The sequence below is a fragment of the Homo sapiens genome, chromosome 11, assembly GCF_000001405.40.
Source record: "Homo sapiens chromosome 11, GRCh38.p14 Primary Assembly".
Classification (NCBI taxonomy): Eukaryota; Metazoa; Chordata; class Mammalia; order Primates; family Hominidae; genus Homo; species Homo sapiens.
Window position 1 is genome coordinate 43,788,659 of NC_000011.10, and position 18,828 is coordinate 43,807,486.

Consider the following 18,828-nt stretch of genomic DNA (forward strand, 5'->3'; position numbering starts at 1 on the left):
TACTCTGCCACCGTCATTTCCTTCCTCAAAAAAAAAAAAAAAAAAAAAAAAGAAGTGTGATCTTGTAACTTCCCAGTTTAATAACCTCTCCTAAGTAATTGTAACACACAGGAGGAAATATAAACTTGTTATAGGACCAATTCCATAGGCCTGTGACCTGAGCATTTGCATGGAGCCCCACACTTAGAAGGGTCCATACTTGGTTTAATGCTCTGCTATTGCCATCTTGAAATTCTTAATAACTTTTGAATGAGGGGGCCCCACATTTTTATTTTACACTGGGTCCCACAAATTAAGTAGCTAGTCCTATTTGTTATCTTGGACCATACAACCTCCACCAGCTGTCTTCTACGAATTTTCTTTCCGCTTCTCTGTGCCATCCACAGGGATTCTTAAAACATGCTGTTCGTTTTCTGCACTTTCTGGTTTTGCCAACATCTGCCCTTTCTTGATAGGGTCAATTCCTACTCTTCACCAAAAACTCCACACAAATGTTACCTAGTAGGTAAAATAGCACTCTGCAAGAATGAGTTGCTTTCTCTTTGATGCTTTGTTTATATTTATTAGAGCAGCAATTGGGTTTACACATATCTCCTTCATCAAAATATAACCTATTTGAGGGTATTTGTTATTGTCCTCAGGGTGAAGCCTGACACATGGGCACTACTTAGTATGTATTTCTTGAATTTATTCAATCAAAACATTTATTGAGCTCCTATAAAGTACCAAGTACTGTTGGGCTTTGAGTAAACAGTAGTAAAGAGCAAAAAACAGACACAGATCCTGCCCTCATAGAGCTTACAGTTTAGGGAGTGAGATGCTTTGCCAGATTGCAACTTGCCATGCTCCTGAATAAATGAATGAGCACCTGGGCCTTGGTTTAGAATGGGAAATCTTTTTGTCTCTTTGACTAGCAGTGGTGGTGGAATATTATGATCCCTAGAGTACTGGGAATTTTGTATTTGGAAGCTGACCCAGGTCATTTGGTGACATTAAAGAGAAGGGTAGGCTAGCCATTGTGGTTTCATGCCTGTAATCCCAGCACTTTGGGAGCTCATAGCAGGTAGATCACTTGAGCCCAGGAGTTTGAGACCAGCCTGGGCAGCATGACAAAACCCCCAAAATTAGATGGGCATGGTGGCATGCACCTGTGGTCCCAGCTACTTGGGAGGCTGAGATGGGAGGATCTCTTGAACCCAGAAGGTCCAAGCTGCAATGAGCCATGACCGCGCCACTGCACTCTAGCCTGGGTGCCAGAGTGAGACCCTGTCCCACTGCCCACTGCCTCCCCCCCGCAAAAAAGAGAGAGAAGCGTGACTGTCAGCAGGGTTCCCAGGCTTCTTTCATCAAATCTGAGATACCATTGATCATGAAGCAACAATGCAGCTTATAACCACTAAGAAAGAAAATTCACCAATTAAACTGACTTGCCATCAATTATAAAACACCTTGATTTCAGAGATGAAAAGTGAACTAAAATGTACACCTTGGAATAGATAACATACAATAATTTAAAGGTTAATTACAAGCAAATTGAGTCAAGGAAATACTTGGACGCTAAAAGCAAGGCTAAAAATAGTACATCATGACCATTGATTCCATGGATGATATGGTAATGAATCACTTTTTGAAGCAGAGTCAGATGTTCATGCCAGCTTGAAAAAATATGCAGCTGATGCAAGGAGGTAAGAGTTAAGAATACAGATTATACCTACAGCAGCCTATGCTATTAAGGAAAAAACAACTATTTGCCAAGCAGCCATCTTTGTAGATATTGGCAGATAGAGGAGTCCCCCCCGTGTCTGCAGGGGATATGCCACAAGATCCCCAGTGAATACTTGAAACTGTGGATAGTGCTGAACCCTATATACCTATATGTGCTCTTTTTCTGATCTGATAACCAAGAGAGATACTAAGTGACTAAAGAGTGGGTGGTGTGTACAGCATGGATATGCTGGACAAAGGTATGATTCACACTGAGAGCAGGACAGTGCAAGATTTCATCATGCTAATTAGAATGGCGTGCAATTTAAAACTTATGAATTATTATGGGCCAGGCACAGTGGCTTACGCCTGTAATCCCAGCACTTTGGGAGGCTGAGGCAGGCGGATCACCTGAGGTCAGGAGTTTGAGACCAGCCTGGCCAACATGGTGAAACCCCATCTCTAATAAAAAAATACAAAAATTAACAGGGCATGGTAGTGGGTGCCTGTAATCCCAGCTACTCGGAAGGCTGAGGCAGGAGAATCGCTTGAACCCAGGAGGTGGAGGTTGCAGTGAGCCAAGATTGCACCATTGCATTCCAGCCTGGGCAACAAAAGCGGAACTCCATCTCAAAAAAACAAAAAACAAAATAAAAAAAAACTGTGTAGGGTGGGTATTATTTTTTGTGGTTTTCTAGGCTAAGAAATGGTATTCTTGAAAGTTCAAAGGCTTGAGTGAAGGGCCTTAGGCCAGCAACCAGTTGAGTTGGCACTCAAGTGCAGGTCTTCTAACTGCATCCCAGGCTCTTCCAGTGAACCCTGCTTTCATACTGCTAGCAGTAGCATCTTGGAATCTTAAGTGTAGTAATCTTAAGAATGATGTTTTGGGCCGGGAGCAGTGGCTCATGCCTGTAATCCTAGCACTTTGGGAGGTCAAGGCAGGCGGATCACCTGAGGTCAGGAGTTCGAGACCAGCCTGGCCAACGTGGCAAAACCCTGTCTCTACTAAAAATACAAAACTTAGCTGGGTGTGGTGGTGGGTGCCTGTAATCCCAGCTACTTGGGAGGCTGAGGCAAGAGAATCTCTTGAACCTGGCAGGCAGAGGTTGCAGTGAGCTGAGATCACACTACTGCACTCCAGTCTGGGTGACAGAGTGAGACTCTGTCTCAAAAAAAAAAAAGAAGAAGAAGAAGAAGAGGAATATTTTGCCTTTTTCTCCCCTCAAAAAACAAAATTCAGGTACTTCTGTTGACCTTTTGTTTACCAAGTGCAGAAAAATCAACGTTGTTATATGAAAATTTCTTCAAGAGTGGTTTGTACAAGAGTCTACAATTCCTGGACCAACTGTAGAACCCAGAGCTTTCAAAAGGATGGAGCCTATTCACGTCCTATCAATAGAACAGATTCACGCAGCATAAGGTTTTTATTTATTGCAAGTGGTTGTTCTAGTTAAAGAGGCTATAATGAAAAAAATATAATAACCTTGGCTTAAAATAAAGAAATGCTTGGTTTGAGATAGAATCCTGATGAGCTATGATTAATTTTTTGGAAAATGGGTCTCTTCATATGAGATTAAAATTGTCATGAATATTTTTCCAAGGGCAACATAAAAAAGGAAATAGACCATTATTTGTGTGGCATCTCTGCTCATTGTAATTAAATGGGCCTTTATAAATGGAGTCAGATCAATTATTCCCTTCTGGTACACAATCACCTTTTCCAAAGTCATGTAAGGCAGGCTTTCTTTGTTGGGGGATGTCTCACCCCAAGGGATAGTAGGGATGTAAGGATACGGTAAGGCCTAGGAGTTGTGGGGGAAAGAAGACAGGAAAAGAAGGGAAGTGGAGAGAAATTGGTTAGGGTACTTTGTTTTTCTTTTCCCCTTAAAATTAGAGAAAGTACAAAAGACTTGTCTTGCATCTTTTAAATCTCTAAATACTGTAAAACATAATTTTAGTGAAAATGGAGAGGTTTTTTAAAAAACGTGCGAGACATTTTTATGGTTACAAACTGAATTTTATGAATTTATTTTTAAGATGCTAAAATTGGTACGCATTGAATATAGTGCTGTTTCTCTAAGAGTCTCCTCTCCCCAACTCATTATCTTTTCCAAGACTGGAATAAGGGAGATTGGTACATGACTAAAATATCCTCAACCTTCATATATGTGCCCCTGAGCCAAGCTTAGAGTACTTTATTCATGAGATGGGATGGTTTCTAAGGTTTCTTATAACTCTAAAATGTTTGAATTTATATGAGAATGATAGTCCAGACCCGTGTATGACAGATGGAGGAACTGAATTGTCTCTCAATGTAACCTTTTTTTTTTTTTTTTTTTTTTGAGAGCTGGAGTCTTGCTATGTTGTCCTGGCTGGTCTCAAACTGCAGGGCTCAAGTGATCCTCTTGCTTCAGCCTCCAGAGTAGGTGGTACTACAGGCGTGCACCACCACACCCCACTCTAGCTTATATTTTAATATGCCTAATGTTCTGTCTTATACATACATTTCTTACCAGCATGTAAGAAATGTAATTTCTATAGGGAGGAATTCAAGAAGTATTGAGAAGATGATTTTAATAAATCAGCTGTGTTGGCCTAGCTTTATTTACTCATTTAACAAACATTGAGCAGAATGACCTCTGCTTTATGCCAGACATGGTGCTAGCTGCAGGGAATACAAATATGACAAATAATGCTCCCTGTTTAAGAAACAGACTCTTTGCTTAATATATTAAGTGCCTCGTAGGGTTATATAGAAGGTTTCTAGGAGCACAGCAGAGAGTGGAAGTAGCTTTACCTTGGAGGAAATAGGAATAGTGAAAAATATGTCCACGGATGCAGTAACATGACTTGAATCTTAAAGAATGTTATAATAATGTTATAATATGGAAAAAGTGAGGAAGGGTGATATGACAGAAATTTCATAATGGATAGTACCTAAAACTTACAGGGGAAGGCAGGCTGTTTATTTGGAGCAGATGTGGGGACAAAGGAGAGTCAACATATATATTTTGGTTTTATTAATAGAAAAAACACAAATAACACACAAGTTTATGTAAATTAGACTTCTTTTGTAACATTCTCAGACTTAATATCCCCAGCCACCTAGGGGAAAAACTTGAGGAAAGTCCTTCTAAAATCTATAAAATTATTTTTATAGAAAGAGAAATTTAAAAGGAAATGCCAATTTGTTGAGCAAAATGAAAATGATGATGGCCAGAGCTGGAAGTATGGTAAACATAAAGCCATTCTGAATATATTTATCACCTTTCTTGGCTTGTACCTAAAAATGTGTGAGTTTTAATATTGAGAGGTGTTTCAGCAGCATCTTGAGACTATTTGAGGGTTCAGTTCCTTTTCTGTCAATTCCAGACTTGACCTTGAATGAATTCTGAATACTCTGTGTCGTAAACAGCAGTGTGACTGTAGGAGTGGTGCATGTGCTCTTGCAGGTGATGGAATGGCTTGAGGCCAGTGAGGATATTCATTATTCTATAGCACTATCGTTATAAATAATATTTGCTTTCTGCTTTTCCACAATTGTAGTTATCTGGTTTTCAATGGAGCAGTAGATAGAAAGGGAGTGAATAGTATCAGTGTAGCTTAGCTTCATTCTCCACTTTTTATGCCAGAGTTGCATTTCTGCCTCCATTTCTAGTTAGTTGACTGCCTCGAGCAGTTCATACCAGTTTTTTTCTTCTTGGTGTTTGGTCTTAGCCACTAGGCTGAGAGGCAGTTGGCCAAGACCATCTGATAATTATTTTCATCTGAAAATAAAGTTGGGATGGGTCATGACTATATGTAACCACAACTGTAAGTAGTGGGATGCTAGCTCATACAATTTCAGATACCGACTGATTTGTCAATAGGCATCAATAGTATTGAGTATCTGTATATATCATGGAATTCTTTAAGTCTTTAAGAATTTACAACCACAAGATTTTACTGTGAGATATTTAAACAAAACATTTGAATAAATGGAGAGCCCGGAGGGAATGCCACATTGTCATTCTTTAATTGAAATGTTTAATGTAATCCCAATCAAAACTGAGACTAAACAGGTGAGGATAAGCAATAAGTTTTTAAAAAAGAAGAACAAAGTAGACTTGCACTACTAGAAATGTTGAAACCCATTTTAGATGTAGCATAACTAAAACTAGGGCATTGTGAAAGAACAGAAAAATAAGATAATAAACAGACTATACTTCTGGAATCAGAATCTTGTAGGTACAAGCTGTCCAATCACTTTAAACATTCACCGGGATCAGCCATTGGATGAGGATGCTACGGAAAGAGCGTGATCTTGGACAAGGCAACTCTGCAGCTGAGGCTGACACCCAAAAGCTGTCTGCTGGTGATACTCCCACAATTAGGGCAACATGAGTTTCACTGAAGGGGTAATTGTGTGGCTCATATCATATTCATTGCAACCTCCAAATCCAATTGTTTGTGCATCTTTATCCTACACACTTGTGGGATATTGATTTTAACTTATTTCAACTCCTACTCTGGAAAAAAGAGAGAGGCTGTGTCATTTCTTAGACCTTTGTAATGAGGCAAGGATCAGAGTCCCAGAAGAAGTACTACTCCAAAAACTTTGGTAAAGTGCTTATTCTTCCCTAGCAGTAGGCTGTTGCTGAGTTGTAGACTGGTGGTTTTATGAAAAAAAACAGGTTGGGGAGGTGTGAAGATGGAAATGAGGGCTGTGTTATGTATATCTGGTATCTACTTCTGTTCCAGGTGCTTAATTCACCCTCATACTGATGTTTAAAGTTAGAGGATTCTTGTCCATTTGTCTTGTCTTCTGTTGGCAGGGTCACATGCAGGGTAATAGGCTATGGGAAGGGGGAAGATGCCTAGATTTACTTCTAGGCTGGTCTCCAAGCCCCAAGTTCAAGCCTCCTGAGTAGCTGAGACTACAGGCACACACCATCGTTCTCAACTTTTCTTTTTTAACATAGGCTAGCTAGCTCCCACCTTAGCCTTCTAGACCCCTCCATTATAATTCTTATTCAATTGCCTTGGCCCAGAAAGAGACAGTTCCTGTCCTATTCTTATATATGCACATCTATTTTTGATTCACAGAACTCGATGGTGGAGGTGGAGGCAGTTGATGGAATTCTGAAAGTCCACCCAACCATGTCCCTGGTCAATAGCATGCATGTACCATATTCCTTGGAAAGGAAACGTGGTGGGAGTCTGCTGGATTCTTCTGGGGAAATTTTCTCTCTATAAAAGGGACATATCACAGAGACATACAATCTCTGCCTCCGAACATTGTTGTCTGCATGCGATGCATGGAATGGCAATGGCCCTCCAGGAAAGGAGCCAGCCTAAGGGAAAAGAGAGGAGGGTGGGAAAATCCCAGATCATTTGTGCCATTGTTGAGCAACTGAACAAAACAGAACCAAGTCCTTGTCTTCTTGAAGCTTAATTTGAGTCAAGACATATAGACAAGCATGTACATTATTAAAATACACTACCTAGTGTATTAGAAGGTGGTAAGTACAATGGGATAAAATAAAGCAGGGAAGGGCATGAGGAGTGCTGGGGGGGATGGTTGCATTTATTAAAGGGTGGGCAAGGCAGGCTTCTCTGAGAAGGTAACATTTGCTCAAGGACCCACCAGAGACAAGGGATGTGGAAGAGCATTCCAAACATAGGGAATGGTAAGTTTAAGTCCCGAGTGTACGTGGACAACATTCTGTATCTAAACAACTGCTAGGATCCCCTATGGCTAGAACTGAGGAGCAACGGGGAGAGTAGTTGGAGGTGAGTTCAGCCAATAAACTCACACCGTTTATTAGGCTGTTGCCACAGCCTTTTGGCTCTTACTCTGAGTGAGAGGGAAATCTCTGGAGGTTTGTGAAGAGGTGGGTATCATGGTCTGACCTACGTTAAATAGGAAAAGCCGGGAACGATGGTGTGTGCCTATAGTCCCAGCTACTAAGGAGGCTTAAGCCCAGGCTTGAGACCCCATCTCTTAAAAGAAAAAAAAAAATGGAAAGGCTCACAATAGAGGCAGTGAAGAAAAGTTGTTTTTTAAAAAAGGCAGTGGTCACTGTATTAGTACATGATTCTGGGAAATCTAGGTATGAGTTCAGAAATTTTAATTAACCTGAAAAACTTGTACCAGAAGCCATTTGCTTATGCTAATGTGAATACAAAGAGCTTGCTTTGGTTCATTACTAAATAACATTCTTCGTGAAAGTGTCATTGAATCTTTTTAGCAACATATCTATACAAAACTCTACAATGTAAGTATGTACATTCAGCAAATCCTGTGAGATGCAGAAGAGTGAATTTGGTTCAGGAGTTGTGAGTTGGCTTTTATTGGTAGAAAATTTCCTGAATGTCAATACCTAATACTAGTATGGAAAAATAATTTGCTTTTCAAAATAAATAGATAAATTTACCTTATGTTATTCTTGAATGAAGTTTTTCATTTAATCAAAGGTATTTTTAAGCTTTTGTTTTGGGGCTTTTTTTTTCCCTTGTGGATCTGTGGCTATAATAAAGTCAGCATTCTTTATTTACTGGTGATAAATTCTGTGAAATGTTAAAGTAGACATGTTGGACCAGCTATTGTGAAATTACAGCTCTGTCTCTAACTTCCCATTACATGAGCACACCTATAACTCATTTATATTAGCACAGTAAGTATACCTTTAACACCAAATAAGGTATTTTCTAGGTCAATTCTTCTTTTCAGTTTATTCATGGATTTCTACCTAGGGTCAGTACTTTTCATTAAGTCTAACTAAGAATCAGATCTCTCATGAACCAACTCTTTAGTTTTAGACAGAAATCCTTTTAGGTCAAGAATACATACCTCCTACGAGGATTAATCCTGCATGCTCTGTGATGAGCTGACATTGACTTTGACTAAAGAAAGATTTATTTTTGGAAGCAGGATTTTAAAATTAGTTCTTTTGAATTCTCAGCAAGTTCTAAAGAATAAGCATTCCTAGCTCACTGGACTTGACTAAGTAAGCTGAGTGGAGATGGTTGAGGAGAGAAAGAGAATCTAGCCTTTATGGACTGCCGTCTGCGTACCATAGGTATCATGTGAGCCTCACATCATCATTTGGGTAAAATTATCTTCATTTTCACCAAAGGATGGTGAGGCTCAAAGAGGATGTGTGACTTGCTTAAAGTCATTTTGCAAATATATGTGGAAATGAAATTGATGCTCATGTCTGTGTGACCTCAGAGCCTGTGCTATCTCTTCACAGGGGCTGTCTATTGAAGGCAAAAGTAAATACTGTACATTAACTCAGATGAGTTTTGTTCCTCCAGGGTCTCATTTCTGAAGCTATTATTTTCATCAGCACTGTTTGGACCTTAATAGACTTGTGTAAAGTAGAATACTGAGTTGTTTCTCATGTTACTTTATTCCTTTATTACTGTGCATTTTGTGTGGATTTTAAAATGTAGTGATTATTAACTATTAACCAAGCTCCCAAATTATAAGATCCCATTCATTTTATTTCCATTGTGATAAGATAGACTTTTTGTTTTAATGTGTCACACTTTAAAATATTTTACAACATGAAGACTTCTTCCTGAAGTTACAAAGCACCAATTTACAATTAAAATCACAAAGCCAGTGATATTTAAAGAGTATATAACTTTATGATATGAATCATGTTTTATTATTTGTACCTAAGGGTCTAAAAGTAGTTTTCATTATTGATTTACAAAAGAAGAACTGATTAAGGAACATTCAGCCAGCTCTCTGTGACGACATTAGAATTTTTATTGCAGAACTAATGTGTTGACTCTATATCATCTCTTAGATGGTCTCATGATTGCTTAAAATTATCCTGGTGTAAATTTTGTATCAAATTGGGTGGGGAGAAACGTCTGAAAGGATAATGCTATCAAATGCCTTAATCTTCACTGCCATGTACTAATTTTCCCTGTCTCTCCCCGTTTGTGTTTTCTTTTTCCCTAGAAGAAAAATTCAAAGTGGAGACAAGAACCATTGCTGTTGACTTTGCATCAGAAGATATTTATGATAAAATTAAAACAGGCTTGGCTGGTCTTGAAATCGGCATCTTAGGTTTGTATTTTTGCCACATTTATAGGTTCTTCTTGTATTTATTATTTGACTTTATGACTTTGGATGTTAAGTGGTAAAATGACTAGTGAGAAAATTGTCTTATGATTACGTAAGACATTATCAGTGAATAATATCACTAGGTGACATTAATATATACATTTGAATCTGTGTTTTTAGTTCTATATTAACAACATACAATTTTGGTTATTTTCCTTGTTATTTCTCTTATTCTCTGTGTATATTTAGATATACAGTTGTCCCTGGGTATCTATGGGTATAGGTTCCAGGACCTCTTCATATGCTCAAGTTCCTGATATAAAATGCCTTAGTATTTGCGTATAGCTTATGCGCATCCTTCTGTATACTTTAAATCATCTCTAGATTACTTATAGTACCTAAAACAATGCCTACACATCACTTCATTTGTGCAGATTTAATGTGTAGACACACTGGTAAACTCAAGTTTTGGTTTTTGGAACTTTGTGTAATTTATCCCCCTGATATTTTTGATTTGTCTCTTTTCTCCCCAGTATTTTTGACCCGTCACTGGTTGAATCCATGAATGTGGAGCTCACAGATAATAGGACTGATGGTAGTTATATTGTAATAATCCTTTAAAGTGGATGGTGCTGACTCATTTACATACAGTTGAGGAAATGAAGGCTTAGAATAATTTATTCAGCCTTTTGTTCACTATTACCCCCCGAGAAGACTTTAGAGATTTTTCCTAATCTAACTCTCATGAAATTTTAATACCACAAATACACTGTATAGATCCGATTATGTACTATATGTATATCTCTGCTTTATAAAAAAAAATACAAATAAGATTCCCACCCCACCCTGACCAAATTTCATCTACTCTGTGGAGCTCTGCCCCAGTTGAAAATGGATTGTTTAGAAGGGCACATAAAGATTGAGTGGTTCAGCTGGGGTTCAGTCTTGTATTTTTTTTTCTAAGTCTTATACCCCTTTTGTTACATCTCAGCTACCTTGCTCTTATTACCAGAAACAGATACTTTTATTGGGATAATCAGAATATTGAACTTTGTTATGGAAACAATTCAGAAAATTGTATAGGAAAAAAAATGGGCTTTGTTAACTTTCCCACCGCTCTTTGAGAGTCGTTTCTAGAAAGAAACAGGGCATCTAGTTCCAAAAAAAACTAAACTTCCTCATTAAATCTGTTTATCCCACTGCCAAAATTGGTGGGAACCAACTAATTGTCATTGTTTGTTTAGTTGGGCTATAAAAGTTGGATAAATTAAGATAATTTTTAAAAACATTTTCTAACATTTCTTTAGTCGTAAAGACCCCACTTCCCTTTCTCATCCTATAAAAGAATGGTCTTTTACATGATTTCCATAATAGATAAGACAGTTGTTAAAAATCAGTTAAACAAGTATAGCCCTGCATAGTACTGTTGCACCTGGCTTTCACATGCTATCCTTTCCCAGCTCCTGCCTGGTCCATATCACACATCACCATGCCCCATATACCGACACCACTACTCCCTCACTTATAGGAAGACCAATAGGTAAAAATGAATGCAAACACAGGTCTGGTTTTTGCCTTTGTGTTTGCATGTTCTTAAATATATGTATTGCTGGGAGTCCTTCACAGTTTCCTCTTCCTTAGCCTAGATCTGAAACACATAAAGCACCACTGACATCTATAAAAAAATCTTGACTTCCTTCACCTAGATCTGGAATACATAAGTCACCACTGACATCTGTAAAAATCCAAATCAGCAATCATAACTTACAGTTAGTATGGAAGCTGTCATGGTTCATCTTAACCTCCTTTCAAACTAGAGATGGACTAGGGGATAAAGGCTAGCTTAGGCTGGAAGGGAGATTGAGAATCCCTAATGAAAAAAGACTGAGGGAGAAAATCTTACTGCTTCTCTTGAGCTTGTGCTCTTAGAGAATGACTTACTTTCAGAAATAGTTAAATTCATCACAGTTGTGTTTAGTTTTGCATAAACTTTAGTTGCTTTTCATGGAAACTATAGATGCTCTGGGACTATGGCATTGGCATTGGAAAATGTTGGGCATCATGTTGCTGCAGGGCTGGAGGATTGTACAAGGCACTCTTTAGCTGTTCTTTCCTGCCCCCTATATGGAAAGGCTTCAATATGATTTTAGGCGTGACAGATCTGTTAAGGATAAGCATACAGGACACATGTTCTCTAAATACTTTTTCCCCATTTCTAGAATCCTAGCACTTGTATCAATACATAAATACTGATATTTGGACATAAGGACTGATATTTTCCCAGGCCTCATACACTAATGAACCATTGTTTTGATAGCCTAGTTCCTTAGTAAGTTGCTGAGTTAACAATTTGTGCCCCTCCTCATTCATTCATTCATTCATTCATCAATCAGTGAACTAGAGATACAACAATGAACAAGAAAGCTGTACTGGGCCGGGCGTGGTGGCTCACACCTGTAATCTGAGCACTTTGGGAGGCCAAGGCGAGAGGATCACCTGAGGTCAGGAGTTTGAGACCAGCCTGGCTAACATGACGAAACCCCATCTCTACTAAAAATACAAAAATTAGCTGGGCAGGGTGGCACACACCTGTAGTCCCAGCTACTCAGGAGGCTGAGGCAGGAGAATCGCTTGAACCTGGGAGACAGAGGTTGCAGTGAGCCGAGATTGCACCATTACACTCCAGCCTGGGTGACAAAGTGAGACTCTGTCTCAAAAAGAAAAAAAAAAGAGCTATACTGCATTATTTATGTAGTATAATGTTCTAATAGGAAATATAACATGAAACAAAATAATTATCTGTGGGATAAGTGTTTTGAGTAGGGAAGGACAGGGTGTAATATGAGTATGTGGGGGACAGGGGAGTTGATACAGGGAGAAATAATGGTAACTTGTCCTAGCCAGTGGGGTAGGAAAAAGGAGGATTCCAGAAACATTTATAAATGAAGTAGACGAAGCAAGACTTTGTAAGAGATTCCAAGTGGGAAGACAGAGAAGAGAGAATTTATGGATGACTTTCAGGTTGTGGCTTGAACATCTGCATTAACACTGCATTTGCTGAAATGGAGAATCCTTGAGGAGGAGCCTTTTGGGGAGTGAAGATCATTTAAAACTAGAAATCTGGGGCTCCTCTAAGATGTCTAAGTTGACTTGTTTAGTTGATAGTTGGAGATATATATATATATATATATATATATATATATATATGTATATGTATGTATGTATATGTGTATATATATCTAGATTTCAGTAGAGCTCTGTCCTACAGATATAGTTTGGAGATTAGTCATCTATGAGTAGTAATTGCACTGAAGCAGTGGGCCTGGAGATCATCCAAGGAGAATAGAGAGAATGTAAAGAGAAAACTGAAGAAAGAGCTCTTTTGAGTTCCCTTCCTTCTTGTCAAAGGCTGCCTGGAATAGATAGCATGAAGTGGGGGATAGTTTTCTGCATGAACTCAGTACTGTTCAATAGAAATGTAACACAAGCCACAGTAATTTTAGCTTTTCTAATAGCCACATTTTTTAAAGTAAAAAGAAACAGATGAAGTTAATTTTTTTTTTTTAATTTTTATTTTTTGAGACAGAGTCTCACTCTGTCACCCAGGCTGGAGTGCAGTGGCGCGATCTCTGCTCACTGCAAGCTCCATCTCCCAGGTTCACACCATTCTCCTGCGTCAGCCTCCTGAGTAGCTGGGACTACAGGTGGCTGCCACCATGCCTGGCTAATTTTTTGTATTTTTTAGTAGAGATGGGGTTTCACCGTGTTAGCCAGGGTGGTCTCGATCTCCTGACCTCATGATCTGCCCGCCTCGGCCTCCCAAAGTGCTGGGATTACAGGAGTGAGCCACCACGCCCAGCCCAGATGAAGTTAATTTTAATGTATTTTATTTTAGCCTAGTATATCTAAAATACTATTAATATTTCAATATATAATCAATACAAAAAAATTTAAAAATATTTTGCATACTTTTTTAATACTAAGTCTTAGAAATCTAGTATATATTTTCCACTTAATAGCATATCTCAATTCAGACTAGCCACACTTTCAGTGCTTAGTAGCTACATGTGGCCAGTGGTTACTGTATTTGACATCTCAACTCTAGTTCACCTTGGCCATCTCTCAACCTCAGTTTGTATGAGGGAATTATGAGTATAATTTATTGATTTGTCTTAGCTTTTAAGCAGTGGTTCTCAACCAAGGACAATTTTGCAGTGTATGGCAATGTTCTGAAACATTTCTGATTGTCCTTCTTGGCTAGGGGAGGGTAGTTCTACTGTCCCCTAGTGGGTAAAGCTCAAGGATGCTACTAAACATTCTATAATGTGTATAGGACAGCCTTCCACAGCAAAGAATGATCCATCCAAAATGTCAGTAGTGCTGAGGTTGATAAACCCTGCTTTAAAATTATGCTGTCCTTAAACAGTTCAGATACTCACACAACTTTGATTTTGATTTCTAGTTGGTTGCAAATCAATAATAAAAATCATTATAGCTAATGTTTACATAATCCTTTAAAGTGTATAGCTGAACTTTTGCATACATTATCTCATTAGCTGAGCTGTAAGTTTAGTTTTCTTCCTACTCTACCACAAATGTCTCCTTAATCATAAGATTTATGTAATTATTATTGACATTTATTAGCACATATTTTACACATGGATTGTAATTTTAATTTCTCAAGATTTTCGATGGAACTATTAAAATACTTCTGTGAGTTAAATTTTATTACTAGGTCATATTTCAACTCCATTCTTATGGTTCCTTCACTAGTATGGGTATAACCCTCTAGAACTTGTTGTGGGGAGGTCTGATGTGTATATGTTTTCTTTCTCTTATGATTACCTGAATTTATAGCCCCATCAACTTTCTTCTCTCCCGCATCCCCATCCAGATCCCACATACTCTCACCTCTGTCTAGTAAGGGCAAAATAATTTAGTCTCTTTCCTCTGCTTATGCAATTCTCACTTTTATAACATTCTCTAAAATATTCTATGTATAGACTGATTTCTAGTAAGACCTAGGAATCCATATTAAGTCATAGGAAGGAATTTTTTTCTACCAAGTTTTAATGAAACTAGTAAGGATAATAAGAAAAATAAATCACCAGGGTACACCCCATTTGTTTGAAGTGTTAAGCACCAAACAGTCAGTGCTTAATAAAGAAAATTAATATTTTCAGAATTACAAAGGAAAATGCTAAAGCCCTTAGTCATGAAAGAAACATTAAGTTTTCAGTAAGATAAGTGGAAAGGAAACAGCCATGAATTGTGAGAATTTATCCTGAAAGGTCACCATAACTTGATGAGACTATAAATGCTTAAGGTTGAGAAGTTGGATTCTTAACTCCGTTACTTAAAAAAAAACTAAGCATCTACTGTCTTCTTTCAGGCAAATGCCAAGAAATACAGATTTCAGAAAGCTTATAAAACTTTGGCTATTTAGAGAAAATGACATCCTTACTGCTTTGAGTAAGCAAACAATTGGTTAACAAAGTGTGATTACCGTAATGCTTACTTGATTCCTTAGGAGAGACTCTCATGTGTGCTCCAGATTGGTTTGGAGGACTTTGCACAATACAACTCAGGGAGGCGTAATTTACCAAGGCCAAAAGAGTAGGCTTGGCTTTTAAGTATGCCACAGACAATACTTTTTTCAAATTCTACTACTATGACTTTTTTAACTTTGTGAGATTCTGTATTATAGAAGGAGAAAGAAAGGTCCTCTTGGAAAAATATACTTAGTTTGTGATTCATTTAAAAAATCAACCATAGCTTTATTTAAGCTTTTATTGCATTCTAGACAAGAATTTCCCCATGCCAGATGCTCTCAAGGCCTTCTCTGTCCATAGTGTTGATGGCGTATACAAGTTGTAGCATCCTCAGCTGGTACAAGGTGACCTGTGTTGCCCTACTGGCTTAGTGCATTCAGGACTTTAGTCATCCATCGACTTTCTTGATTCTTTCCATACGCATTGCTAATAATTTTAAGAAGCCTCATTTTAACAACAACAAAATGTGTAGATAATAGAGGTCAGTTGATTGCAAAGAATCACTGATTGCCAAAGCTGGAATAGAACTTATTATTCTCTTTTCTTCCTGTGCCCTTTATAAGTGAACACTTGCTCCACTAATGTTCTTGGTGAATTATTTTTTAATTGGTGTCCTTCCTTTTTCAGCTGAATGCAAACTCTTTGTTATCCTTGCCTGTGCCACCACTTTCCTCATTAAACCTTATGGATTTGGGGAAGCAATTGTGTTGCATTTTTCTCCCGAAAACCTAGTGTTTCCCAGAAGGTTCTAGGATAGAGAATAGTTGAATATAAATATTTTATTTACTAAACTAAAAGATAGTTTGAGCAAAGATACCCATCAGAGTTAAGATCAGAGTAACTCTGTCTCTGTGTATACTTACATTTTCAAAGTTTCTTAACAAAAGACCCAAGAGTATTATTAGCTACTTGGGGAAAGGACTAGTTAGCTTCCAAATGGCAAACTCCTAGTTAATTGGTTTGGGATCCAGAGATGGCTTCCTTATAATTCAGTCCCCAGAGAAGCAAAGGAAGAGCAATAGATGTAGGCCTAGGAGAGAGAACCAAGGCACTACAGGAACAGTGCTGAGGAAAACTTTTCTAGGATTGCTTGGAAGGAAGGAAAATGGAGCATACTAGGAGTTTATGCAGCTTCCTGGTCCCTGTTGATTAAGGAAGTCACAAATAAAAGAGTCTTATTTCTTCAGAGGCTTTAGAAATACATAATGCTACAGATTCTCTTCTTGCTGTTCTCAATGTTATAAATAGTTTTAAGTTGCTCTCATTTGAAGTGTAAATACCTCTAAAGGGCTAATGGCACCTGTTATTTAATTCTTATTGGAACTAGTATATTCAGTTTATTCCTTGTCTACTTCTTGCTGGGTCAGTTGGCTATTTTAGTTAGTGAAAGACATGGAAAAGTCATTTTAAAATGGAGAACAATAGTCTTAAAAAAGGAAACTATGTGGTAGGTTGATAATCAGTGGGGTGCAGAGATGGAGACACGCAGAAGGACAAAATAAAATTATGTTGAGAGAGCACCAAAGGTAAACTTAATGTAGTTAGAATTATTATCCCCTACTCCCGCTTTTTCTCTGTAGCCCAGTATATGAGGATCAGGCTTAAGGAAGAGCAGAGGCTATTATTCTAGGTATATAGGAAAGGGTTATAAGAGGATCATGGGATGATTGTTTGGGAAAAGGGCAGGATATAACTTTTGTGCTTTCTAAGGGTATAAAACACTTCCAAAACTTCCCTTTTGTAATACTGCAATCACATTTTGTTGCTAACCACCCAGAGTTACTGCAGACTCCACAGGTTCAGGAACACAGCCCCCCAAAAAACTGCCCTCAGTTCACATGCTAGCTGCAAGTTTGGAGATCTTCAGACCATCTACACTTTTGACTAACTGGCTACAAATTCTTGGGTTCGTATGACACCCTCGGGTTCAATAATTAGCTAGAGCGATTCATGGAACTCAGAAAAGCACTATACTCATGATCTTGTAGTTTTATTATGATGGATAAAAGTCAGGATTAGTCAAATGAAGAGAAACCATAGGGCAAGGTCTGCGGGGAGTCCCCAACACAGAGGTTCTAAGCCCTGTCCTGGTGGAGTCAGGACACCTTACCTTCCAGGCGCATCCTTGTGTTCATCCACAAGGAAGCTCTACCGGGCTTCAGTTTCCAGAGTTTTTATTGGGGGTTTCATTACCCAAGTAGGCATGATTGATGGAATCATTGGCCATGTGGTTTAACTTGATCTCCAATCCTCCTCTCTTTTCTTTAGGTTGGGCTGGCTTAAAGCCCCAGCCCTCTAGTCACAGAGTTGGTCTTTCTGGTGTCCAACCCCATCCTGGGTCATCTTGATTCCACTACTGAGTATATATCAAAAACGAAGAAACTCAATATATTGAAGAGATATCTGCACTCTATGTTTATTGCAGCACTATTCACAGTAGCCAAAATATGGAATCAGCCTAACAGTCTATCAGCAGATGAATGGATAAAGAAAATATAGTATAGGTACACAATAGAATATTATTCAGCCATTAAAAAAAAAACCTGGAAATCTTGTCATTTGCAGCAATATGGATGGAACTGGAGGTTATTATGTTAACTGAAATAAACCAAGCCCAGAAAGGCAAATATCACATGTTCTCACTCATATGTGTGAGCTTAAAAAGTAGATCTCATGAAGATAGAGAGTAGATTGGTGGTTACCAAAGGCTAGGAATGGTGGGATGGGAATAAAGAGAGGTTTATTAATGGGTACAAATGTATACTTAGATGGAAGAAATAAGAGCTGGGTTAGATCATTTGGATGACTATAATCAATTGTATATTTCAAAATAGCTAGAAGAGAATAATTCAAATGTTCCTAGCGAAAGAAAAGATAAAGATTTAAGGTTATAAGTATCCCAGTTACCCTGATTTGATTATATGAATGTACCAAATTATCACGTGTACCCTGAAAACTTGTACATTTAATATGTATCAGTTTTAAAAATAAAAACACAGATGTGATCCAAGGGCCTGCCATGAATAAGAAAGACACTGTTATCAGGAAATTCCAGTGGTTTAAAACCTCCATCCTATTAACAAAGATCAGACAAAATGTTAACTGTACAGTACCTTTTCTTTCCTTTTTTTTGATTGATTCATTCAATCAACCGTATACTAATTCATTAAACAAGTAAAATTCCAGAGCTATAACAGTAGACAAAACAGACACTGTTTCTGCTTTTCTGGAAGATAGCCATCGAACAAGTAGTGGGAACGTGTTGCATGTAATGAAGGAGAATGTTACTGGGAAAGCTAAGGGTGTCACAGATAGTATCCCTGAGAAAGTCATTTAAGTGGAAACCTGAAGGCTGAATAATACTGGGAGAATAGACATGGGAAGGGTTTCCAGGTGGAGGAAACGGCATGTACAAAAGGCCTGATGTGAATATTCTTAGTGTGTCAGTAGAACTGACAAAAGCCCTGTGAATCTGGAGCAAGGGTTTCAAAGGGGACAGTAACAAAAGAT

At 38.2% G+C, this 18,828-nt stretch overlaps 1 protein-coding gene across 7 annotated transcripts in view; it reads left to right on the forward strand.

Moving 5' to 3' along the window:
* Positions 1-18,828, forward strand: part of HSD17B12 (hydroxysteroid 17-beta dehydrogenase 12) — a 299,895-nt gene that overhangs the window by 231,938 nt on the left and 49,129 nt on the right. For all 7 annotated transcript variants that reach the window (XM_024448573.2, XM_047427074.1, XM_024448571.2 and 4 more), the window contains one exon: positions 9,662-9,769. In XM_024448573.2, the coding sequence (XP_024304341.1) occupies positions 9,662-9,769 (108 nt within the window). The remainder of the gene's footprint in view (positions 1-9,661; positions 9,770-18,828) is intronic.